This window comes from Homo sapiens, chromosome 4, assembly GCF_000001405.40.
Source record: "Homo sapiens chromosome 4, GRCh38.p14 Primary Assembly".
NCBI lineage: Eukaryota > Metazoa > Chordata > Mammalia > Primates > Hominidae > Homo > Homo sapiens.
Genome location: NC_000004.12, coordinates 25,239,370 through 25,266,676, shown reverse-complemented (window position 1 = coordinate 25,266,676; position 27,307 = coordinate 25,239,370). Strand labels below are relative to the sequence as shown.

The following is a 27,307-nucleotide window of genomic DNA, read 5'->3' as shown; positions in this document are numbered from 1 at the left end:
CTGCATGTTTGGTAAAATTTCCTAGATGTACCCTTTAAACCCTTTACAAATGCAATTTGCATAAAGGTTCCAAACCATTAGGAGAAAATAATAAAATGGAACCAAGACATTTCAAATCAGTTCAATAAAAGACAGGACAAGCAAAAAAGAACAAATTACAATTCACGTTTAATAGGAAAAAAATAAGAGGGCAGGAAAAGCTTAAGCGTATCAGTAGTTTATTGAGACTTAAACTACAAAGTGCACCTATTAAAAGACTCAGACTGGGTTAAAAAAACAGCTAAGTATTCTTCATAAGTCACATATCTAAAACAAAATGATAAAAGTTAAAAATAAAAGTAGATTAGCTGAGTGTGATGGCGTGTGCCTGTAGTCTCAGCTACTTGAGAGGCTGAGGCAGGAGGATTGCTTGAGCCAGGAGTTTGAGGCTGCAGTAAGCTATGAGCATGCTACTGCAATCCAGCCTAGATGACAGAGGGGGACCTTGTCATTCATTCACACATGCATAAATGTAGAGAATAATACCAGGTATATGCTAACAAAATGAACGGAGGTATAACAATGTTACAGAAAACCAAATAAGAAAAGCAAAGGCCACTGAGGTATACACAAAGTGGGACATATTTCACACTGATTAAAAAAAAAAAAGAAGCCACCAGGAAGATAAACCACTGGACCTCTACACACGTGAAATACAAAGCAAAAAATGCATAGAAATTGAAGAAAAAACTGACAAAATCACAATCACAGTGATCATTAATTTCCTCTGAAAATTAACAGATTAAATAGTCAGAAAATAAGTAAAGGATATGATATGACTAACAACCTTCAGGTTAGCAGACAGAATTTTGTCCTCATTCTTTTCAAATACTATCCTCTAAATAGGCCATATATAGGATCATACAGAAATTACTAACAAATTGCAAAACAGAATTTACACAGGCCATATTCACAGATCACAATGCAATAATGCTGGAAAATAACAATGAACAGTTTCTTAGAAATAGTAATAATGGACAATTAAAATAAGCTGACGTAGAAATTTTAAGATCAAACAAAATACTTCTAAATTATTCCTGTCAAAAAGAAAGTCAGAAAATATGAGTATGTAAAGCAGAGCCATAGAGTACCACCTGTGCAACCCGTGATTTAGCCAAAATGATACCCAGAGGAAAGTATGAGGCCTAATATGCATTTATAGGAAAGCGATATAGCATGAACATAATAGGAGAAAAGAATAATGATGGAAAACATAAATCTATAAAAGAAAAAGCAAACAAACTAAAAGCCTGATCTATAAAATAAAAAGGCAATTATCTGGGGAAAAAGAGCATAAATAATTAAATAAATAGAAGGACCGATGCTTAACAATAGACAAATCTTTGGCAAGCCTAATGAGTAAAAGGCTCACTAATAAATTGAAGGAATTTAAAAGAGACATATCATGGATACAAATTTTTTTTTTTTTTTTTTTTTTTGGTGAGACAGAGATTTACTCTTGTTGCCCAGGCTGGAGTGCAATGGCGCGATCTCGGCTCACAGCATCCTCTGCCTCCCAGGTTCAAGCGATTCTCCTGCCTCGGCCTCCCGAGTAGCTGGGATTACAGGCATGTGTCACCACACCCGGCTAATTTTGTATTTTTAGTAGAGATGGAGTTTCACCATGTTGCCCAGGCTGATCTCAAACTCCTGACCTCAGGTAATCCACCCACCTCAGCCTCCCAAAGTGCTGGGATTACAGGCGTGAGCCACTGCACCCAGCCAGATTTTTTAAACATACTATATATTTTTTATTTTATTTTTGAGACAGGGCCTTACACTCTTGTCACCCAGGCTGGAGTACAGTGGTGCCATCTTGGCTCACTGCAACCTCCACCTCCCAAGCTCAAGTAATCCTCTCACCTCAGTCTCCCAAGTAGCTAGGACTACAGGCATCGGCCACCACACCTGGCTCATTTTTGTATTTTTTGTAGAGATGGGGTTTCGCCATGTTGCCCAGGCTGGTCTTGGACTCCTGAGCTCAAGTGATCTGCTAGCCTCAGCCCCCAAAGTGCTGGGATTACAGGTGTGAGCCACCATGCCTGGCCCATATATTTTAAACACATACAAATATCAGAAAACAACTATAATAAACTCCCATGTTAACTCAATCATTACCAATTTTTTTTTGCAAAACTGGCTTTATTTATCCCTCCTGGTCCACACCACCAATATTTTAAGGCAAATTACAGAAATCATTTCATTTAACTCCCTAAATACTCAATACGCACAGAGGGAATTTTTTTAATTATAAGAGAATTCTAATAAAATGCTATACTCATAAATTTAAAACTCAAGAAATCATGGAAAATTTTAAGCAAAATAAAAGTGCCTAAAACTGGTTCAAGAAGATGTAGAAAACGTAATCATTTACCACAAAAGAGACTGGGAAAGCAATTAAAGCACTACTCCCTAAAAATGAGGTCAGGTGGAGGGCAGGCCTAAATTGTTTTAGAAGTGAATACAACGAAAAACGTAAAATATAGTTCTACCAAATATTAAAATAATTTCAATGTTATATATTTTTTAAAAACTGGAACACTACTAAACTCATTTTCCAAGGATAACACAAAACCTAAAAATCAAAACCAGTCATCCCAGAATAAGCAAAAAATTCATAGCAAGACCCTGTAGTATACATTTGCATCCCTAATGCCTAAAACTGAGCCTTAATGAATAATCATATTTCATCTACTTTTTCCTCCGCTATGGTATCTGTAAATTTTTTTCCCTTCTCATTCTGGAAAAAAGGTAATTATAGACTCTACAGAAGGTTCTAAATACTCACATGCTCTCCATTCATCAGGATGTTTAAAAGGAAATGCTAGACCATTATCAATTGCAGCTATTTTAATAAGGAATTCTTCATCATCAATCCATTTTGATTCCTATAGAGTAGAAAAATGATATGTTGATAAAAGAACCTATATAAATATTCCCAAAGGATAAATTATTTATAATAATTATTGAGGTTTAAGAACATATTCTCTCGGATGAGCCTATAAAAATAATGTTACCAGAAAAAGTACAAATTCACACAGGAATGGAAGAGACTGTCTGAAAAAACAGTGTATTTCCTAACCACTATTTTTTAAAATTTCATATTATACCATTACTCAGTAATGGTTTCAAGTTTTTTCTCTTTAAAAGGCTTGAAAATATTGTGACTTTAAAAAGTGATGTTCTAGATAATTTACTGCTAGATTCATTGCTTAAATGTATGATGTAAAATATTACTAATTTTTTTAAACACCTTAATAATCACCTTATTAAGACCTAGTCTTTCTTAGGGTCCCAAAGAAATAAATCAAACACAAAATGTTTCTAAATGAAACTCCTTCAAAGACCATAATTAAATATAAGATCTAGTAGAAGGAACCTCAAGATATTCTTGAATGTAGGTGTTATTTTTTGGCTGTGTCCCCACCCAAAATCTCATCTTGAATTGTAATCCCCTGTAATCCTTATGTGTCAAGGGTGGGACCAGGTGGAGGTAATCGGATCATGGGGGCAGTTTCTGCCATGCTGTTCTCGTGACAGTGAGTGAGTTCTCATGAGATTTGATGGTTTTGCAAGCGTCTGGCATTTCTCCTACACTCATTCTCCTGCCACCCTGTGAAGAGGTGCCTTCTGCCATGATTGTAAGTTTCCTGAGGCCTCCCCAGCCATGCAGAATTGTGAGTCTCTTTTCTTTATAAATGACCCAGCCTTGGGTATTTCGTCATAGCAGTGTGAGAATGTACTAATACAGTAGGCCGTTCCTAACTTCTGTATTCTTCCATAACAGAAATAAAGATCTCAGGAGAAAGAGGGTTTTCATGTTAAAGAGTATTTCTGCGGAAGGTAATTTATCAAGCTCAACTATCTTTAGAGGTAATTATTGTGAATATCTGTTTTATTTTACCACGGTGGTTCACACGGCTCTGATGTTAACTTCGTATTTTTGGAATTGCTTTACTTAGAAATTAAAACAGAATAAAGTTAAAAGTGTGTGTTTTTTAAAGAAAAAAAAAGGGTATTCTGATTAAAGATAGATGGCCATTACTAAGTGGCCTAGATACAATAACAAAAAGTAAAACAGAAAATTTTTAATTTAAAAGCACTACAGTGAAGGCTGATGTGAGGTACGCCAACTTTATTTCTTTTAGTTTATATCAAATGTCTTACACCTCATTGAAAGTGCACAAAATACTTAGAGCAAAAGAATTTTCAGCAAAATCTAACAGCTCAAGATATACAAATAAAATAATTTGGGGAGCTTATGTTATTTAATTATCTTTAATTTTTTTATTTTTTTGAGACAGGGTCTTGCTCTGTCACCCAAGCTAGAGTGCAGAGGCACAACCACAACTCACTGCAGCATTGACTTCCTGTGCCCAAGCAATCCTCCCACCTCAGCCTCCCGAATAGCTGGGACCACAGGTGCCTGCCACCATGTCCGGCTAATTTATTTCATTTTACTTTTTCTACTATCTTTAAGTCTTTTATCCTTAAGTGGCGCTTTAAAAAGATTTTTTTTTAATTCTTTGTAGACACAGGGTCTCAGACTCCTGGACTCAATCAATCCTCCCACCTTGGCGTCCCAAAGTGCTGTGATTACAGGCATGAGCCACTGTGCCCAGCCCAGGAGCTTATACATATGAGCATTTATGTTTGTATTTTAAGCCCATTTCTGCTACAACTGCCATTTATTATTATTTCTACTATTCTTTCCTATTTACAACTTTATTAAGGTATAATTTATACACAATTAACTTCCTATATTAACAAGTACAATGTGATGAGCCTTGACATATGTGAAACTTCCACGCCAAAGTTTCCTTGTGTCCCTCTGCAGTCCAGCTACTGGTCTGTTTTCTGTCACTAGAAACTAGTTTGCATTTTCTAATTTTTAAATATAAATATACAATATGTTCCCTTTATGTGTAGCTTCTTTCACTCAGCATAATTTTAAGTTTCATCCACGCTATTGTATCGTTTGTTCCTTTTTATTGCTAAGTGCTACGAATATGTATTTTTAAATATCCTTGATAAACATTTAAAAGCACAAACTTTTAAAAATGATGCAACAGCTTTAAGTCATTACTTGAGAACATAAATTATAAATATTGAAGAAATATTTTTAATCACTTAAAACTTTCCCAAATGTACAAACTGTTTTAAACTTGTAAAAGTATTTTATAAAAAAAATCTTATGTAAATATCTAAAACTTCAACTTGGTACTCAAAGTCGATAGCAATTACTCTAAAATCTATAACTCTCATATCAGTGTTGAGGCTCTATGCAGTCTATTATATATGTTAAAACCAGCTTCTTATAAATAGCAAAAGTATTTAATACTTTTTTTAAGTTCAGTGGACAAGATTCACAGGTTAAGCACACATGTTCCATTTATTAGGTAATATTGTATTATCTAATACTGAATGAAAGGACTCAGAAGAAAGTGAATTAGTAAAATACAAACATGGTGAACAAAAATCCCAGAAGCCTTTATTACATAAAAGCAAAATATGGGGATTCCATATATTTCTCAAACTCTAAAAAAGTACTAGGCAGGTATTATTCTTCTATTCTAATATGAAATAAAAAATAAAGCTGCCCAACAATTAATAAAAGAAAAAACAGAACTGGCTGGGTGTGGTGGCACATGACTGTAATCCCAGCACTTTGGGAGGCCAAGGCGGATGGATTGCTTGAGGCCAGAAGTTCGAGACCAGCCTGGCCAACACGGCAAAATCCCACCCCTAAAAAAAAAAAAAAAAAAAAATCAAGAATCAAGAAATGCAACGTAAACAAGTGACAAAAATAAAAAGTGTGAGAAAAACAGAGACAGTAGATTTAAAAACCAAGGATTAAGTGAAAGAAGGAGGAAATGGTGAAGAATAACTTAAAGGAATCTTTTACAGAAATTGAATATATATATATATAATATTCACAAGTTATACACAATTATATACACGTGTGTGTGTGTATGTGTGTGTGTGTGTGTGTGTGTATATATATATATATATATATATATATATATAAAATTGTAAATTTCCTTACCTTATGGTCAATTTCCTTTTCACATTTCTGCTTTTCGTATCTGACTAACCAATTATCATTGCCCCTGTCTTTCAAAACAAACAAGAAAATCTGTTACTTCATTTCTATGGACATCATGGCTTAATATCAATGAGAAAACTCTAGTGATCTCCTGATTTTTGAGACTTTCACTGGTTATCTGTAGCATATTAAAGGTCACAATTTAACACAAAGAAACTAAAAAAAAAAAAACAAACATAAATGTGAGCTAACATTTATTGAATATTTTCTCTGGGCCGACATTGTTTTAAGTGCTTAGTATGTAATAATTCATGTAATCCTCAAAACTACCCTGTGAGGTGATACAATTATTAAATCAAGGTTATTAAAATCAAAGAGCTTTTCTTCACTTTAGGAAGAAAAAGCATTAACCCCCTATTTCTAGGCAAATTTCTAAGCAGGCTCACCTCATGTCAGCATAGAAGTAGTCTAGACTATAAACATATATATGTAAATTAAGAAAGTGAATCTGGAAAATTATTTGATTCGTTTCCAAAAACTAAATAAGAAAACATTTTGAACCAGTGGTTCTCAAACTTCAGAATGCATCAGAATTACCTGGAGGGTACCTTAAAACCCAGCCTGCCAGTACCCACTTGCAATTTCTGTTCCAAAAGGTCCAGCGTAGTGTCTGAGAAGATGCATGTTTAACAAATTCTCACGTAATGCTGACCCTGACAGTCCAGGGACCCACAATGGGGAGCCCCTGCTTTGGATAATCTACATCAAGCTTATCCAACCCGTGGCCTGCAGGCCGCATGCTGCCCAGGATGGCTTTGAATGTGGCCCAACAAAAATTTGTAAACTTTCTTGAAACATTATGAGATTTTTTTTTTATACTTTTTTTTTTTAAGCTCATCAGCTGTCATTAGTGTTACTGTTTTTATGTGTGGCCCAAGACAATTCTTCTTCCAGTGTGGCCCAGGGAAGCCAAAAGACTGGACATCCCTGGTCTACGTCATTGCTCCTTTATAGCACAGGAAAAATTAAGAGTTTAGTGTATTTATAGACTACACTAAGAGTTACATAATGTCAAAATAAGCACCTAACATAATTTATACAATGAAGCCTTAATTACTCACATTATGCAGATAACATTTCCAATATCTGACTTTGCCCTGCCCCTAGGAAATTCCTCCCTAGGGGACAGGAACTGATCTAGGAGCCTGCTATGAGTCAGAATCTATCCCACACAGGATGAATTCTGCCCAGGAGAGTCAATACTACATCTGTTTGCCAAGACAGACAGAGAAAGTGGCTTCAAGACTTCTGCAACAAAAGTTTACCGCTTTGATTTGGATAACAAGAATATAGTTTGAAAATGAACAAGATTTACGTGAACAAATGAGAGAACTTCAATACCTGTATTTCTGATGATGTAATCCAAAATAACTAATCTTTCAAATTGTGACTGAAATTGTTTTCTAATATTCTCAGGCAAAGGGTCAGCTTCAAATTTCCTAAGCCAATATTCAGCCTCCTTGTAACCTTCAACAAATAACTGAAAGGAACCAATCTATAATTTTAAGAACTATAGTTAGAAAAGAAAGTACAAGAACAAGGGGATTAATATTTATATTTCTCAGCAGTACTGTCAAAAAATATGTCATGTAAACACAATAAGAAAACTTAACACTAATTTAGATAAGCCACATTTATCAAGAAAACCATTTTTATACACTAATTTTAAATAATCACATAAAGAATACATAGCAAATAAAAAATGCTTACCCCTAGACTTTCAAGGAGCATAGCAGCTATTTTGGGAAAATTTAAAAAAAGAATAAACACATGTCTTCAAGGTGACACTCTGAAAAAGAATGCCGTTTTTCTAAAAATATTCATTAAGGTGAATTTAATTATGGAGGCCAAATTTTAAACCTATCCTGCTTATTCAGTAACAGTGCAATTTTATCTGAACTTTTCCAGATTCTTTTTATGACATAAAATACAATAAATAATTTTTTTTCATTTTTTTTTTTTAGTTGTTAAGACTCTTTCTTTGAATTCTAAATAAATTATTTTATTTTAAAAATAGGATGAGGCCAGGTGTGGTGGCTCACACCTGTAATCCCAGCACTTTGGGAGGCTGAGGTGGGTGGATCACTTGAGGCCAGGAGTTTGAGACCAGCCTGGCCAACATGGTAAAAACCCTGTCTCTATTTAAAATACAAAAAATTAGCCATGTGTGGTGGCACATGCCTGTAGTCCCAGCTACTCAGAAGGCTGAGGCAGGAGAATCGCTTGAACTCGGGAGGCAGAGGTTACAGTGAGCCAAGATTGCACCACTGCACTCCAACCTAGGCGACACAGCGAGACTGTCTCAAAAAAAAAAAAAAGGACAGATTCCTTAACCACACAGATTAAATACCCAGTCTTAAATTTTAAAGAACAAATCTATTAATCATAATATTGATAGCGGTTTTAAAAAAGTCCTTTCCTTGAAGATATGACCATTTAAGAAGGCATTTTTGTTACTAAGATTACTAGTTAATAGTAAACAATTTGTTGGAGAAGGAAATAAAAATTTAAGTAGCATGTGACAAACAGGTAACAGGTAACCCTAGTTTGCTTCAAAAATACAAACAAATCACCACAAAGAAAATCTGCTTTTTATTCTAACACTTAATGTTTTTGTTGCTGGCATGAAATTTTCATGATTTCCTACAAGTGTTCTTTAAAATACTTATAACTAAGACCTAGTAGTCATAAATATGGAAATAACATCCTCCTTTAGTCACACTTATTTCAGCATGTCTAAGGAAGAACAAGCCTTTTAAAAACTTTCAAACTTCCTGCCCACTTTGAGTAAAATTTATCTTAAAAGTTAGGTTAATGATGAATTCCTACTGAAATTCTTTTTATCTAGATAAATGTAGGGAAGCAAGAAAATCATAAGCCAAATACATTTCTAAAAAATAAGTCTTAAAGCTTTTTCTAGAATGCCTTTCCCATTAACCCTCTCTACCCTTGTTTAGCTGGCTGCTCATCATCCCTCAGGTTTACTTAAAGGTGATAAGAAAAAAGAAAACCTAATGTGTAGTAAGTAAACATAGCTGCTGCCATTTACTTAACCTTTACTATGTACCAAGTCCTTGACATGAATTTCTTAGTTTTCTCCTCACAACAACCTAAGAGGTAGTTTTTGTCATTCTCATTTTATAGAAACTGGAGCTTAGAGTAAGGAACTTGGCCAGGCACAGCGGCTAACACCTGTAATCCCAGCACTTTGGGAGGCCAAAGCGAGAGGATTGCTTCAGCCCAGGAATTCAAGACCAGCCTAGGCAACATGGTGAGACTCTATCTCTACAAAAAAAATTTTTTTTAATTAGTCAGGTGTGGTGGTGTGCACCTGTGGTCCCAGCTACTCAGAAGCCTGAGGCAGGAAGATTATCTGAGCCCACGAGGTCGAGGCTGCAGTAAGCCCTGTTCACAACACTGTACTCCAGCTGGGGCAACAGAGTGAGACCCTCTATCAAAAAAAAAGAAAGAGAAAGAGCAAGTAAAGAACTTACCCGAGGTAAGTTCTGGAATCAGACCTAATCCCAGCAAACTAGCAGAGAGGCTGGGATTAGGTCTGATTCCAGACCTGTGGTTTTACCCATTACTTTATAAGCCTTTCATGCAACCTCTTCCTGGAAACACCTCCCATCCCTCTAAACTGGGTTAGGCATCCATCTATCCTCTTAGAGCTCCCTGAACTTACCGTCATCTCAACAGCTTTATATTACACTAAAATTACCTGTTTACTATAAGCTCCTGGAAGATGAAAAATCTGTGCTATAATATCCACAGCTAATAGCACAATGCCTGGCTCCTAGAGCTCAGGATGTATGTGCCCAAATGCCCTCTAAATACAGCTTATCAGAGAAACTTACCTTAGGAGGGAGTCCTATCCTATGAAACTTTCTACCCACTTTTGGCACTTTTTCTAAAGCATACTTTTTGCCTCTTGATTTTGCACGGTCAATCGCATTATAGTTAAATGTCTCACTGACAAGCCAAACCACCTAGAAACATACAATTCAGAAAAATGGTTAGAATTTGCATTATAGTATCTCTTTTCATATACACCATGAAACTCACTCTAATGATGAAAATTAGCAAAGTTTAATCCTGTAATAAAGGCCCCAGAGAATCTAAAACAGAAAAGCCAGGGAATTTTGCAAAGCCTTGTTAAATGAAGGGCACATATTTCTTTCTGAGAGTGGTATAAAAGCCTTTTAGAGGCCTAAATTTGCCAGTGGTCAAAGTAACAGTATTGAACTGTAGACTTAGGAATAAACATTTTAAGGAAGAAGGCTTCAAGTAAAAATTTAGAAAGGATGCCAGGTTAGCTGGGTGCAGTGGCTCATGCCTGTAATCCCAACACTCTGGGGGGCTGTGGCAGGTAGACTGCTTGAGCTCAGGAGTTTGAGACCAGCCTGGGCAACATGGAGAAATTCCATCTCTACTAAAAATACAAAAGCTGGCTAGGTGTGGTGGTGATGCCTGTATTACAAGCTACTCAGGAGGCTGAGGTGGGAGGATCACCTGAGCCCAGCAGGACAAGGCTGCAGTGAGCCATGATTGCATCCCTATACTCCAGCCTGGGCACGAGACCCTGTCTCAAAAAAAAGAAAAGAACAGAAAGGATGTGGGTGCCAGGCGCATGATGGTATGTGCCTATAGTCCCAGCTACTCAGGAGGCTGAGGTGGGAGGATCACCTGAGCCCAGCAGGATGAGGCTGCACCTGAGCCCAGCAGGATGAGGCTGCAGTGAGCCATGATAAAGAGAAAAGATGTGGGTGCCAGGCACATGATGGTATGTGCCTGTAGTCCCAGCTACTCAGGAGGCTGAGGCAGGAGGACTGCATAAGCAGAGAAATTTAAGGCCAGTCTGGGCAACACAGCAACACCCTGTCTCTTAAAAAAACAAAACAAGAGAAAAGAAAAAAATTTTGTATAAAGGCTGAAAGGACAATACAAGTCTTTAAGCACATTGGTTATCTCTGCCTTCAATAGGATCTCTGGATCCCCTGATATTTTCCTGCCTTCTGAATGCTAGTTCTTTATCCTCTTTTTGTTAGCATCGTCAGATCTCACAGAGACAAGACACATTCCTTTAAGTACTTTGTGGATCTACACTACAATCAATTTACTAGTTACCAGTCACTCATGACTCTTGGACTACTACCAAAAAAGGGGCTCCACTTTAGGTTCTATCATTAGGAATAATTACTGAAATATTCAGATATAAGCAGGTTGTAAATTAAAAGTCCATGGTTAAAAATAAAGTCTGGCTTACCTTTGTTTTAGGTACAATGCTCAGATGAAGCTTGTTGTCCACAAGATAGGCACCCGCTTCGGAAAGGTACCCCTGATTAGGAATCAGGCAGCCTCGGCCAAAGCAGCAAGGGCAGCAGACCTTATGGACATATTTGGTCCATTTTGGATTGAGTTGACCATAAGGCTCTTCTGATTTGGGTTTAAACACACCAATAATTTTCTAGAGCAAAAAAGTAAAAATCTTATTAGACTTTTTACATATATAGATAATCATCCATAAAATGCATTCTAATAAATTGTTCTCTACTGCTTCCTACCACAGATGTAGGCATAAATCCCCAAACTATTAAGAGGATTTATAAACCTCAACTATTAAGAGATTTAGTTCCAATCACATTTTCATATTCATTCTTATTCAACAATCTAAAATCAAGACCAGTTTTCAAACTGTGCTCTGACAAACCCTGGGAAGGTGGGGGCAAGGCTCCAAGACCCCATGCCACTTAACCAGATTAACTCTAATTTCACCTGTTTTATATTGCTGGACTTCCAAGTTAAGAAACAGTTTCACTGGGCCGGGCACGGTGGCTCACACCTGTAATCCAGCACTTTGGGAGGCCGAGGCGGGCGGATCATGAGGTCAGGAGATCGAGACCATCCTGGCTAACATGGTGAAACCCCATCTCTACTAAAAATACAAAAAATTAGCCGGGCGTGGTGGAGGGCACCTGTAGTCTCAGCTACTCAGGAGGCTGAGGCTGGAGAATGGCATGAACCCAGGAGGCAGAGCTTGCAGTGAGCGGAGATCGCACCACTGCACTCCAGCCTGGGTGACAGAGCGAGACTCTGTCTCAAAAAAAAAAAAAAGGAAAGACTTTCACTGATTTTTAAATGTTTCAAAACCACCATTCTAGGTCAAACAGTGTTATTATTCACTATCTATTAAATATCCACATTACATGTTTGCTGTTTACTTTCCCCACATTAATGTACATTCTAATAAGGCAAGGACTTGGTTTGTTAGGGCTGCATTTCCAGTAGTCAGAACAGTATCTGATGAACAGTGGACATCCAAGTATTTGTTAAATTAACTAATCCAATGACAAAAACTACCTCTAAAATACAAATATAATGATAAGATACAGTGTACATCCATGCTGTCAGATTCTCGTACCCTAATTCTTTTCCAGCTATTTTTTCAGGAACCAATTTAAAGTAAACTCTTGGCCAGGCGCTGTGGCTCACACCTGTAATCCCAGCACTTTGGGAGGTGAGCAGATCACTTGAGGTCAGGAGACCAGCCTGGTCAACATGGGGAAATCCCGTCTCTACTCAAAATACAACAATTAGCTCGGCGTGGTGGCGAGCGCCTGTAATCCCGGCTACTCAGGAGGCTGTGGCAGGATAATCGCTTGAACCCGGGAGGTGGAGGTTGCAGTGAGCCGAGACTGTGCTACTGCACTCCAGCCTGGGCGACAGAGTGAGAATCCATCTTAACAAATAAATTGATTAAATTCTCTCGTATTAAAAAATCTTTTTTTGCTCATGAATGTCTAAAAGTCTCTGTACTCTTATTGTTTGATACAATATACTCATATTCAATTTAGAAGCTGAATTATCCTTAGACAAGAACAAATCTTATTATAATTTTAAGTATATAATTGCTTTATAACACAATAAATATAATGCAATAAGGTCTGAGTCACTAGTAAAAAAGTCAACAAGATCAAATTAAGAAATCAAGCTTAGAATAAAGATTGAGAGATTGACAGTACCTTCAAATACATTTTAATCTTAAAAAAGGGACTATGCTTTAAAATCATTTTAAAAATAGAACTTCTATCTTTGCCAAAAAAATTGGGTGAAATTATAAACGTTATTCCCCTGGAGAAAAGAACTGCTCATTATGCATCATTCAGAAAGCTTTTAGAAAAAATAACATATTTTTGAAAAATTCTAGACTAAGTGGAGCAAAGTGCCACATCAACTTCTCTTTTCCACTTTAGAATCATCCTGTGGTTCATTTCACTTTCACATTCCAATACTTTCAAGCTTCAGATTGCTAAGCCTCCTTCCCCTGGTAAAATGCCAGAAAAGGTATTCACATACCTTTGAAAAAAAATCAAGTACTTTGGAAATGACATTAAACAACTTTTGAAGGTTTAACCTTCCACCGTGTTTGGCTATTAAGGTTATAGACTTCCATAAGATAAGGACTTGTGAATATATATACTCAAAAAGGCTACAGCTGAATGTGGGTATTCAATAAATGCTTGAAACCAAGTATAAAATAACAAAATAGCAAACTGTGACTTGAACTGATTAGCTCTGTTTCTAAGCACTAGAGTGCTTTAGTAAAAGCAAAACATTGAGGCTGGGCACAGTGGCTCACACCTGTAATCTCAACACTTTGGGAGCCAAAGCCGAGGTTTGCTTGAGCCCAGGAGTTCAAGACCAGCCAGGGCAATATAGGGAGACCACCGTCTCTACAAATAATTACAAAAATTAGCCCAGTGTGGTGGCACGCAACTATGGTCCCACCTACTTGGGAGGCTGAGATGGGAGGATTGCCTGAGCCCAGGTGGTCAAGGTTACAGTGAGCTATGATTGCACCACTGCACTCCAGCCTGGGTAAGAGAGGGCGACCCCGGGCGTCTCAAAAAACAAACAAAAACTGACCTTTGTTTTGGAAAAGAGGTTACAATCAGACTTAATAGGAAAATATCTTTAGAAACTCACAATGATTTCATATTTAAATTAGTATTTACCAAAGTTTCCATTACATATAATAGGTCTGTGAAATTCTCACCCTCTTAGGATCCTTCACAAAGTAACTTCCACTTGAACCTTGAGAGATTCTTTCTGGAAAAATTCCAACTTCTATTGCTTGCTCTGCTCTCAGCATAATATCGGCAAATTCTGGGTCATCCAAGAATGCATTCATCTCTGAAGTACCAATAGTTACTGCATTAAGAAGAAATACCAGCTATGAGAATGCTCATGATATGGACCTGTAATATCGATTAGCTTGCCGGTATCAGGATATAAGGTACAGAAAAATGTAATCAAGATTTGTATAGACTGCTCTAATCCTCCTTCCCCCCACTGCCTAACAACCCCCACTTCTCTTAAATTTCCAAATAATAACATGGGGGCGGGGGCGGGCACAGTGGCTCACGCCTGTAATCCCAGCACTTTAGGAGGCTGAGGCGAGTGGATCACCTGAGGTCAGGAGAGTTCAAGACCAGCCTGGCCAACATGGCAAAACCCCGTGTCTACTAAAAATACAAAAAATTAGCCAGATGTGGTGGTGGGCACCTGTAATTCCAGCTACTCGGAAGGCTGAGGCAGGAGAATCACTTGAATCTGGGAGGTGGAGGTTGCAGTGAGCAGAGATTGCGCCACTGCACTCCAGCCTGGGCAATAAGAGCGAGACACCGTCCAAATAATAATAATAACAACAACAACAACAACAACATGGGAGGAAGTTAACTGTTCATTAAAAATAATACTAATACCTCTCATTTCTTTGAACTTCGGTCCTGCAATGATTCTATCATCCATCCTACTTCATCCTCTAGTTCCCCAATCATATCTCGGATTTTGTCAATACCAGTAACTGCAACCTCACCACACTTTCAATTTCAAGCACCTCCTGTCTTCCCAGTTCAGTCCCTCTGGCACTCCGAGTCCAAATATTCTTCTGCCCTACTAGAACCTACAAAGGACTGCTCCCCCACGTCACTGGAATTCTCTCCCTTCATGTCCTTGCTTCCCTCCTCCTTGGCCAGCTTAAATTATGCTGGGTCTTCACAAAATCAACTCTTTCTTTCTCCCTTCATCATGGTCACCTGCAAAACTCCCAGTCCTGGTTAAACCCAACTGTCTACCAACTCCATGCCTGCACCAGGGCAGCGGAATTAAAGAAATGCACATGAGCCAATTTCTCTCCTCAAATTCCCAACACCTCCTCTTCCATCCTCTCTCTCAGGAGAGGATCTAGCTTCCTATTTCATTAAGAAATAAGCAGCAATCACAAAATACTACGACCAGCCCCCAGCACTGCATTTATTACCAACTACTTAACTTTGGAATGGCCCAGGTTCCATTCACAGTCCTCTTCTCTCCGTTACCAACACTGGTGACTCCCAAATTTCTAATTCAAGCCTGGACTTCTGCCCTAAACTCGACAACTGTATTCAACATCTCCACTTGGATGCGTAATAGACATCTCAAACTTCACTACCCAAAACTTCATTCTTCACCTTTACGCCTCCCAAAGGCTTCATCCCTACGTTTCCCATATTGCAGTTGCTGGCACCTCCAAATCTTCCAGTTGCTTAGGCCAAAAACCTTATAATCATCCATGATCTCACACGCTTACCCTCTACATCCAATCAGCAGGTTGTATTGGCTCTACCTTAAATAAATACCCAGAATCCAACCACCTCTTGCCATCTCCATTCCTTCCACATGATTCAGGTTACCATCGGCTCTCACCTCGATTATTCTAAGAGCCTCCTAACTGGTCTCCCTCTCTCACCCAGTCCCTCTCTATACCTAACAGAGAAGCTAGTAATACTTTTTCTTTGTAACTTTTAAGTTCAAGGGTACAAGTGCAGGTTACATAGGTAAACTTCTATCTTGGGGGTTTGTTGTACAGATTATTTCATCACCTAGGTATTAAACTGGTAAGAACAGATACTACACTTGATCTTAGCCAAAAGACAGAGAAGCAATCACTCAGGTATTAAGCAATCACCCAGGTAATCACTAGGTATTAAACCTAGTACCCATTAGTTACTGTTCCTGACTCTCCCTCCTCCTACCCTCCACCTTCTGAAAGGCCCTGGTATATGTTGTTCCCCTCTATGTGTCTGTGTGTTCTCATCATTTAGCTCCCACTTATTAGTGAGAACACGTGGTTGTTTGGTTTTCTGTTCCTGTGTTAGTTCACTGAGGCTAATGGCCTCCTGCTCCATTCATGTCCTTGCAAAGGACATGATCTCGTTCTTTTTTATGGCTCTTAAAACATTCTCCCTCTCCCTCTCCCCTCTCCCCTCTCCCTCTTCTTTGCACGGTCTCCCTCTGATGCGGAGCCGAGGTTGGACTGTACTGCCGCCATCTCGGCTCACTGCAACCTCCCTGCCTGATTCTCCCGCCTCAGCCTGCCAAGTGCCTGGGATTGCAGGCGCGCGCTGCCACGCCTGACTGGTTTTCGTATTTTTTGGTGGAGACGGGGTTTCGCCGTGTTGGCCGGGCTGGTCTCCAGTTCCTGACCGTGAGTGATCTGCCAGCCTCGGCCTCCCGAGGTGCCGGGATTGCAAACGGAGTCTCGCTCACTCAGTGCTCAGTGTTGCCCAGGCTGGAGTGCAGTGGCGTGATCTCGGCTCACTACAACCTCCACCTCCCAGCCACTTGCCTTGGCCTCCCAAAGTGCCGAGATTGCAGTCTCTGCCCGACCGCCACCCCGTCTAGGAAGTGAGGAGCGTCTCTGCCTGGCCGCCCATCGTCTGGGATGTGGGGAGGGCCTCTGCCCCGCCGCCCCGTCTGAGATGTGAAGAGTGCCTCTGCCCGGCCGCCACCCCGTCTGGGAACCCAGGAGTGTCTGCCCTGCCGCCACCCCATCTGGGAGGTGAGGAGTGTCTCTGACCGGCCGCCACATCTGAGAAGTGAGGAGCCCCTCCGCCCAGCAGCCGCCCCATCTGGGAAGTGAGGAGCCCCTCCGCCCGGCAGCCGCCCCATCTGGGAAGTGAGGAGCCCCTCCGCCCGGCAGCCACCCCGTCCGGGAGGCGGGGGGCAGCCCCCGCCCGGCCAGCCGCCCCATCCGGGAGGCGGGGGGCAGCCCCCGCCCGGCCAGCCGCCCTGTCCGGGGGGTGGAGGGGCGCCTCTGCCCGGCCACCCCGTCTGGGAAGTGATGAGCCCCTCTGCCTGGCCGCCACCCTGTCTGGGAGGTGTACCCAACAGCTCACTGAGAACAGGCCATGATGACGATGGCGGTTTTGTCGAATAGATAAGGGGGAAATGTGGGGAAAAGAAAGAGAGATCAGATTGTTACTGTGTCTGTGTAGAAAGAAGTAGACATAGGAGACTCCATTTTGTTCTGTACTAAGAAAAATTCTTCTGCCTTGGGATGCTGTTAATCTATAACCTTACCCCCAACCCGGCGCTCTCTGAAACATGTGCTGTGTCCACTAAGGGTTAAATGGATTAAGGGCGGTGCAAGATGTGCTTTGTTAAACAGATGCTTGAAGGCAGCATACTCGTTAAGAGTCATCACCACTCCCTAATCTCAAGTACCCAGAGACACAAACACTGCGGAAGGCGGCAGGGCCCTCTGCCTATAAAACCAGAGACCTTTGTTCACATGTTTATCTGCTGACCTTCCCTCCACTATTGTCCTATGACCCTGCCAAATCCCCCTCTCCGAGAAACACCCAAGAATGATCAATAAATACTAAAAAAATTAAAAAAATAAAAATAAAAATAAAAGATTTTCCTAATTATTAGCTCTGACTCATTTGAGGCTGAATTCTTACTATGCTATCTAAATCAAAATTTTAATGTACATGTTAACAATGCATAATAACAAAAAAACTCAAAACAGAATACAGCTTTTATATTATTGAACTTTATGTACAAAATCATTTGATTTCAAATAAACATTTAATGTAAAAAAAAAAAAACCATACATCATGTCACTCTTTTGGACCAAGCAGTCCATTTATTTCCCATCTCACAATAAGTCCACATCATTATGACCCCCAAGACCCTTACCCAATCTCTAACCTCCACTTTACTTTTCTATTTAGCACTTACCACCTACTCTACTGTGTATTTATTTTGGGTGCTCCAAGAAACCAGGAAACTCCAAGACAAGAGAAACTCCAAAACGAGAACTTATTTCACTGCTGTAACCCCAGAACTTACAGAATTTATTATGTTCCTGGAACATAATAAGCACTTAATAAACACTTGCTGAATGACCTTGCCTTTACCACACCTAAGGGTTATTACTGGTCCTTTAAAATGCAGAAACTAAAAATGGAGAACTAAAAATAAGAGAACTCATTATATAACCTTTTTTATTTAGCACAATTGAAGTATGTATGAAGTAAGTATGTATGAAGTATGTAACTTATCAAGTTTTCATTTCAGATAAATAAATCAAAATAAACTCTTTCTCTCTTGAGGATTAGAACTGTAAACCTAAACCTACCCATCTTTACCATATCTTACTCACTAACCAGAATATTTTCCAGAAAAAAATAGATGTTCACTGGCTGGGGTGCAGTGGCTCACGCCTGTAATCCCAGCATGTTGGGAGACTGAGGCAGGAGGGTCACTTGTGTCCAGGAGTTCAAGACCAGCCTGGGCAACATAGTGAGACCCTATCTCCACAAAAAATAAAAAATTAGCTGGGTATAGTGGCATGTACCTGTAGTCCCAGCTACTCAAGAGGCTAAGGTGGGAGGATCACTTGTGCCCAGGAGTTCAAGGCAGCAGTGAGCCGTGATCATGCCACTGCACTCAGCCTGAGTGTCAGAATAAGACCCTGTCTCAAAAAAAAAAAGAAACTTGAGGTGTTCACAAATTTGGTGCATTGAACCCAGCCTCAGGGCTTTTGGCGCTATTCACCCTTCAGGTCTTGAACTGGATGCCACTTTCTCTAAGTCTTCCCTGGCCCCTACATCTAGGGCATGGCTCCATGCCTCAATGCACAACTTTCCCCATCCAAGCACATATATACAGTCTGTTAGGACCGTTTGTTTGACTGTTTCCTCCATTAGGCTATAAAGCTGTAAGAGGATAGGGCAGGTGAACAGGCATCCATCTAATACAGGTCACTATTGTTTCTCCAAAGCCTTCATTTCCACTGCACCCAGTAGGCACTCAAAATATTTGATGAATGATGCATGTCTGCAATGGATGGAAAACAATGTATTATATGCACTGGTTGAGAAATACTCTCCAACACACCGCCACTCACGGACTTTCAAAAGCTCACTTATGGAAAATGGTCAAAACACATGGAACATCTACTCTGCTAAAACCTTCCTCTAAACTAAACCAGATTATCAGTATGTTGAACCTAGATAAGACAATACAGATAGTGAGAGGTGACAGCATGCTGGCAGCCCTTGCTCACTCACCACACCTCCTTGGCCTAGGTGCCCACTCTGGCCGTGCCTGAGGAGCTCTTCAGCCTGCCACTGCACTGGGGGAGCCCCTTTCTGGGCTGGCGAAGGCCAAAGCCAGCTCCCTCAGCTTGTGGGGAGGTGTGGAGGGACAGGTGCGGGTGGGAACTGGAGCTGCATGCGGCGCTTGCAGGCCAGCGCAAGTTCCAGGTGGGCATGGGCTGGGCAGGCCCCACACTGGGAGCAGCCGGCCTGCCCCGCCAGGCCCCAGGCAGTGAGGGGCTTAGCACCCGCGCCAGCAGCTGCAGAGGGTGCTGCTGGGTCCCCCTGGGCCAGCGCTGCGCTCAATTTCTCGCAGGGCCTTAGCTGCCTCCCCACAGGGCAGGGCTCGGGACCTGCAGCCGGCCATGCCTGAGCCTCCCCCCGCCGCCGTGGGCTCCTGTGCAGCCCGAGCCTCCCCAACAAGCACCACCCTCTGCTCCATGGTGCCTGGTCCCATCAACTGCCCAAGGGCTGAGGAGTGTGGGCACAAGGCGTGGGACTGGCAGGCAGCTCCACCTGTGGCCCCAGTGTGGGATCCACTGGGTGAAGCCAGCTGGGCTCTTGAGTCTAGTGGGGACTTAGAGAACCTTTATGTCTAGCTAAGGGATTGTAAATACACCAATCAGCACTCTGTATCTAGCTCAAGGTTTGTAAATGCACCAATCAGTGCTCTGTATCTAGCTAATCTAGTGGGGACATGGAGAACTTTTGTGTCTAGCTCAGGGATTGTAAACGCACCAATCAGCACCCTGTCAAAACGGACCAATCAGCTCTCTGTAAAACAGACCAATCGGCGCTCTGTAAAATGGACCAATCAGCAGGATGTGGGTGGGGCCAGATAAGGGAACAAAAGCAGGCTGCCCGAACCAGCAGTGGCAACCCACTCAGGTCCCCTTCCACACTGTGGAAGCTTTGTTCTTTCGCTCTTTGCAATAAATCTTGCTGCTGCTCACTCTTTGGGTCCACACTGCCTTTCTGAGCTGTAACACTCACCGCGAAGGTCTGCAGCTTCACTCCTGAAGCCAGCGAGACCACGAACCCACCAGAAGAAAGAAACTCCGAACACATCCGAACATCAGAAGGAACAAACTCCGGACACACTGCGTTTAAGAACTGTAACACTCATTGGGAGGGTCCGTGGCTTCATTCTTGAAGTCAGTGAGACCAAGAACCCACCAATTCCGGACACATTTTGATGACCCAGATGGGACTATCGCCTATTGCCAAGCAGTGAGACTCGCCAAGCAGTGAGACAACTGCCCATTGCTAAACAAAGGGACTATCGCCTATCGCCAAGTGGTGAGACTATCACCGAGCAGTGAGACCATCGCCTATCGCTGAGCAGTGAGACTGTCACCTATCACCAAGCAGTGAGTGCCATCGGACCCCTTTCACTTGCTATTCTGTCCTATTTTTCCTTAGAACGGGGGCTAAATACCGGGCACCTGTCGGCCAGTTAAAAGCGACTAGCATGGCCACTGGACTAAAGACACGGGTCTCAGGCTTTCTGGGAAAGGGCTCTCTAACAACCCCAGACTCTTCAGAGTTGGGAGCGTTGGTTTGCCTAGAACCAGCTTCCACTTTTCCTGTACTTTTGGGCTGAGCCGAGGGTCGACAGAGAGGAAAGCCATGCAGCTCCGCAGGTACCAACAACTTGGTTGACCCTGCGGCCATGAGCGGAACTCTCCAAGGCATGTCACCCAAGCGAGATTTGCCCATCTATCCTATCTATCCTGACCCTTACCCCCTGGGTCCTAGTGCCTGCCAGACAAACTTCCTCTCGCCTCTCTTCTCCGAGGTTAGTCCCGCTTCTAAAAATTGCTACCTGTCTCTGGTGCTCTTCTAGTTTCTCCTATAAAATGACTTCTAGTATAAACTGTTACCTTCTTTAGGCACCCAGGCTCACCAATCAGAAAGACATAATTTTTGCCCGAAGCCCCATCGTAGTGGGGACTACCTGGAACTTTAGGATCCCTCCTCAGACTAATAGGCCTAACAAAAGCTATTCCTGAAGCTAGGATATGGGGAGCCTCAGAAATTGTATCCTTCCTATTCATATAAGTGAGGACAAAAGGTGTCACTCTTCCAACCCTGGAGATCCCTTCCCTCCCTCAGGGTATGGCTCTCCACTTCATTTTTGGGGCATAACATCTTTATAGGACAGGGGTAAAGTCCCAATACTAACAGGAGAATGCTTAGGACTCTTAACAGGTTTTTGAGAATGCGTCGGTAAGGGTCGGTAAGGGTCACTAAGCACAACTATTCCAATCAGCAGGGTCCAGGGACCGTTGCGGGTTCTTGGGCAGGGGTTGTTTCTGCTGCTGCGTCAGTGAGCGCAACTATTCCGATCAGCAGGGTCCAGGGACCGTTGCGGGTTCTTGGGCAGGGGGAGAAACAAAACAAACCAAAACTGCAGGCGGTTTTGTCTTTCAGATGGGAAACACTCAGGCATCAACAGACTCACCCTTGAAATGCATCCTAAGCCATTGGGACCAATTTGACCCATAAACCCTGAAAAAGAGGCGGCTCATTTTTTTCTGCACTATGGCTTGGCCCCAATATTCTCTCTCTGATGGGGAAAAATGGCCACCTGAGGGAAGTATAAATTACAATACTATCTAGCAGCTTGACCTTTTCTGTAAGAGGGAAAGCAAATGAAGTGAAATACCTTATGTCCAAGCTTTCTTTTCATTGAGGGAGAATACACAACTATGCAAAGCTTACAACTTACATCCCACAGGAGGACTTCTCAGCTTACCCCCATATCCTAGCCTCCCTATAGCTCCCCTTCCTATTAATGATAATCCTCCTCTAATCTCCCCTGCCCAGAAGGAAATAAGCAAAAAAATCTCCAAAGGACCACAAACCCCCGGGCTATTGGTTATGTCCCCTTCAAGCTGTAGGGGGAGGGGAATTTGGCCCAACCTGGGTACATGTCCCCTTCTCCCTCTCTGATTTAAAGCAGATCAAGGCAGACCTGGGGAAGTTTTCAGATGATCCTGATAGGTACATAGATGTCCTAAAGGGTCTAGGGCAAACCTTCGACCTTGCTTGGAGAGATGTCATGCTACTCTTAGATCAAATCCTGGCCTTTAATGAGAAGAATGTGACTTTAGATGCAGCCCAAGAGTTTGGAGATACCTGGTGTCTTAGTCAAGTAAATGATAGAATGACAGCCGAAGAAAGGGACAAATTCCCTACCAGTCAGCAAGCCATCCCCAGTATGGATCCCCACTGGGACCTTGACCAGATCATGGGGACTGGAGTCGTAAACATCTGTCGACCTGTGTTCTAGAAAGACTGAGAATTAGAAAAAAGCCCATGAATTATTCAATGATGTCCACCATAACTCAGGGAAAGGAAGAAAATCCTTCTGCCTTCCTCGAGCGGCTACGAGAGGCCTTAAGAAAATATACTCCCCAGTCACCTGAATCACTCGAGGGTCAATTGATTCTAAAAGATAATTATTACCCAATCAGCCACAGATATCAGGAGAAAGCTCCAAAAGCAAGGCCTGGGCCCTGAACAAAATCTAGAGGCATTATTAAACCTGGCAACCTCGGTGTTCTATAATAGGGACCAAAAGGAACGGGCCCAAAAGGAAAAGCAAGATCAGAGAAAGGCCGCAGCCTTAGTCATGGCCCTCAGACAAACAAACCTTGGTGGTTCAGAGAGGACAGAAAATGGAGCAGGCCAATCACCCGGTAGGGCTTGTTATCAGTGTGGTTTACTAGGATGCTTTAAAAAAGATTGTCCAATGAGAAACAAGCTGCCCCCTCATCCATGTCCACTATGCCGAAGCAATCACTGGAAGGTGCACTGCCCCAGAGGACGAAGGTTCCCTGGGTCAGAAGCCCCCAACCAGATGATCCAACAACAGGACTGAGGGTGCCCGGGGCAAGCGCCAGCTCATGTCATCACCCTCACTGAGCCCTGGGTATGTTTAACTATTGAGGGCCAGGAAATTGACTTCATCCTGGACACGGGCGCGGCCTTCTCAGTGTTAATCTCCTGTCCTGGACGACTGTCCTCAAGGTCCACTACCATCTGAGGAATCCTGGGACAGCCTGTAACCAGGTATTTCTCCCACCTCCTCAGTTGTAATTGGGAGACTTTGCTCTTTTCACATGCATTTCTTGTTATGCCTGAAAGTCCCACACCCTTATTAGGGAGGGATATATTAGCCAAGGCTGGAGCTGTTATCTGCATGAATATAGGGAACAAGTTACCCATTTGTTGTCCCCTACTTGAGGAGGGAATCAACCCTGAAGTCTGGGCATTGGAAGGACACTTTCGAAGGGCAAAAAATGCCCAGCCAGTCCAAATCAGGTTAAAAGATCCCACCACTTTTCCTTACCAAAGGCAATATCTGGTAAGGCCTAAAACTCATAAAGGATTACAGAATATTGTTAAACATTTGAAAGCTCAAGGCTTAGTAAGGAAATGCAGCAGTCCCTGCAACACCCCAATTCTGGGAGTACAAAAACTGAATGGTCAGTGGAGACTAGTGCAAGATCTTAGACTCATCAATGAGGCAGTAATTCCTCTATATCCAGTGGTACCCAACCCCAATACCCTGCTCTCTCAAATACCGGAGGAAGCAGAATGGTTCACGGTTCTGGACCTCAAGTATGCCTTCTTCTGTATTCCCCTGCACTCTGACTCCCAGTTCCTCTTTGCCTTTGAGGATCCCACAGACCACAAGTCCCAACTTACGTGGAAGGTCTTGCCCCAGGGGTTTAGGGATAGCCCTCATCTGTTTAGTCAGGCACTGGCCCAAGGTCTAGGCCACTTCTCAAGTCCAGGCACTCTGGTCCTTCAATATGTGGATGATTTACTTTTGGCTGCCAGTTTGGAAGCCTCATGCCAGCAGGCTACTCTAGATCTCTTGAACTTTCTAGCTAATCAAGGGTACAAGGTGTCTAGGTCGAAGGCCCAGCTTTGCCTACAGCAGGTCAAATATCTAGGCCTAATCTTAGCCAGAGGGACCAGGGCCCTCAGCAAGGAACGAATACAGCCTATACTGGCTTATCCTCACCCTAAGACATTAAAACAGTTAAGTGGGTTCCTTGGAATTACCGGCTTTTGCTGACTATGCATCCCTGGATACAGCGAGATAGCCAGGCCCCTCTATACTCTAAACAAGGAAACCCAGAGGGCAAATACTCATCTAGTAGAATGGGAACCAGAGGCAGAAACAGCCTTCAAAACCTTAAAGCAGGCCCTAGTACAAGCTCCAGCTTTAAGCCTTCCCACAGGACAAAACTTCTCTTTATACGTCACAGAGGGAGCCGAGATAGCTCTTGGAGTCCTTACTCAGACTCCTGGGACAACCCCACAACCAGTGGCATACCTAAGTAAGGAAACTGATGTAGTAGCAAAAGGCTGGCCTCACTGTTTAAGTGTAGTTGCAGCAGTGGCCGTCTTGGTGTCAGAAACTATCAAAATCATACAAGGAAAGGATCTCACTGTCTGGACTACTCATGATGTAAATGGCATACTAGGTGCCAAAGGAAGTTTATGGCTATCAGACAACCGCCTACTTAGATACCAGGTGCTACTCCTTGAGGGACCAGTGCTTCAAATACGCACATGCATGGCCCTCAACCCTGCCACTTTTCTCCCAGAGGATGGGGAACCAATCGAGCATGACTGCCAACAAATTATAGTCCAGATTTATGCCACCCAAGATGATCTCTTAGAAGTCCCCTTAACTAATCCTGACCTTAACCTATATACCGATGGAAGTTCATTTGTGGAGAATGGGATACGAAGGGCAGGTTACACCATAGTTAGTGATGTAACCATACTTGAAAGTAAGCCTCTTCCCCCAGGGACCAGTGTCCAGTTAGCAGAACTAGTGGCACTTACCAGAGCCTTAGAACTGGGAAAGGGAAAAAGAATAAATGTGTATACAGATAGCATGTATGCTTATCTAATCCTACATGCCCATGCTGCAATGTGGAAAGAAAGGGAGTTCCTAACCTCCGGGGGAACCCCCACTAAATACCACAAGGAAATTATAGAGTTATTGCATGCAGTGCAAAAAACCCAAGGGGGTGGCAGTCTTACACTGCCAAAGCCATCAAAAAGGGGAAGAAGAGGGGAGAACAGCAGCATAAGTGGCTGGCAGAGGCAGGGAAAGACCAGTAGGAAGGAAAGAGACAGGAAGTCAAAGAAAGAGACAGAGAGGAAGAGACAGAGAGACAGAAACAGAGAGACAAAGAGAAGGAGACAGAGAGAGGAAGAAACAGAGAGTCAAAGAGAAAGTGACAAAGAGAAGGAGTCAGAAAGAAAGAGGGACAGACACAAAGTCAGAGAGTCAGAAAGAGAGGAAGAGACAAAGAAATCAAAGAGAAAGAAAGAGAGATGGAAGTAGTAAAGAAAAACAGCATACCCTATTCCTTTAAAAGCCAGGGTAAATTTCTGTCTACCCAGCCAAGGCATATTCTTGTTATGTGGAACATCGACCAATATCTGCCTCCCCACTAACTGGACTGGCACCTGCACCTTAGTCTTTCTAAGTCCCAACATTACCATTGCCCCAGGAAATCAGACCCTATCAGTACCCCTCAAAGCTCAACTCCATTAGTGCAGAGCCATACAATTAATACCCCTACTTATAGGGTTAGGAATGGCTACTGCTACAGGAACCAGAATAGCCAGTTTATCTACTTCATTATTCTACTACCACACACTCTCAAAGGATTTTTCAGACAGTTTGCAAGAAATAACAAAATCTATCCTTACTCTACAATCCCAAATAGACTCTTTGGCAGCAGTGAATCTCCAAAACCGCCAAGGCCTAGACCTCTTCGCTGCTGAGAAAGGACTCTGCACCTTCTTAGGGGAAGAGTGTTATTTTTACACTAACCAGTACGAGATGCCACCTGGTGTTTACAGGAAAAGGCTTCTGAAATCAGACAATGCCTTTCAAACTCTTATACCAACCTCTGGAGTTGGGCAACATGACTTCTCCCCTTTCTAGGTCCTGTGGCAGCCATCTTGCTGTTACTTGCCTTTGGACCCTGTATTTTTAACCTTCTTGTCAAATTTGTTTCCTCTAGCATCGAGGCCATCAAGCTACAAATGGTCTTACAAATGGAACCCCAAATGAGTTCAACTAACAAATTCTACTGAGGACCCCTGGACCAACCTGCTGGCACTTTTACTGGCCTAGAGAGCTCCCCTCTGGAGGACACTAAAACTGCAGGGCCACTTCATTGCCCCTATCCAGCAGGAAGTAGCTAGAGCAGTCATTGGCCAAATTCCCAACAGCAGTTGGGGTGTCCTGTTTAGAGGGGGGATTGAGAGGTGACAGTGTGCTGGTAGCCCTTGCAGCCCTCGCTCACTCTCGGCGCCTCCTCGGCCTCGGCGCCCACTCTGGCCGCACTTGAGGAGCCCTTCAGCCCGCCACTGCACTGTGGGAGCCCCTTTCTGGACTAGCTGAGGCCAGAGCCAGCTCCCTCAGCTTGTGGGGAGGTGTGGAGGGACAGGTGTGGGCGGGAACTGGGGTTGCGTGTGGCACTTGCGGGCCAGCGCGAGTTCCGGGTGGGCATGGGCTTGGCAGGTTCCGCAGTCGGAGCGGCTGGCCGGCCCCACCGGCCCCGGGCAGTGAAGGGCTTAGCACCTAGGCCAGCAGCTGCAGAGGGTGCTGCTGGGTCCCCCTGGGCCGGCACCGTGCTCGCTTTCTCACTGGGCCTTAGCTGCCTCCCCGTAGGGCAGGGCTCAGGAC

General features: G+C 42.6%; 1 protein-coding gene and 1 pseudogene across 5 annotated transcripts in view; both read right to left on the bottom strand.

Moving 5' to 3' along the window:
* PI4K2B (phosphatidylinositol 4-kinase type 2 beta) overlaps positions 1-27,307 on the bottom strand; it is a 45,172-nt gene that overhangs the window by 12,528 nt on the left and 5,337 nt on the right. For 2 of the 5 annotated variants that reach the window (NM_018323.4, XM_005248175.5), the window contains exons 2-7: positions 14,202-14,356; positions 11,412-11,612; positions 10,003-10,134; positions 7,487-7,640; positions 6,086-6,153; positions 2,828-2,927 (exon numbers count right to left, since the gene is read on the bottom strand). In NM_018323.4, coding sequence (NP_060793.2) covers positions 2,828-2,927; positions 6,086-6,153; positions 7,487-7,640; positions 10,003-10,134; positions 11,412-11,612; positions 14,202-14,356 — 810 coding nt within the window. The other 3 variants (NR_144633.2, XM_005248174.3, XR_007057941.1) reach the window with 3 other exon arrangements.
* On the bottom strand, positions 16,038-16,132 carry LOC124900916 (uncharacterized; annotated as a pseudogene).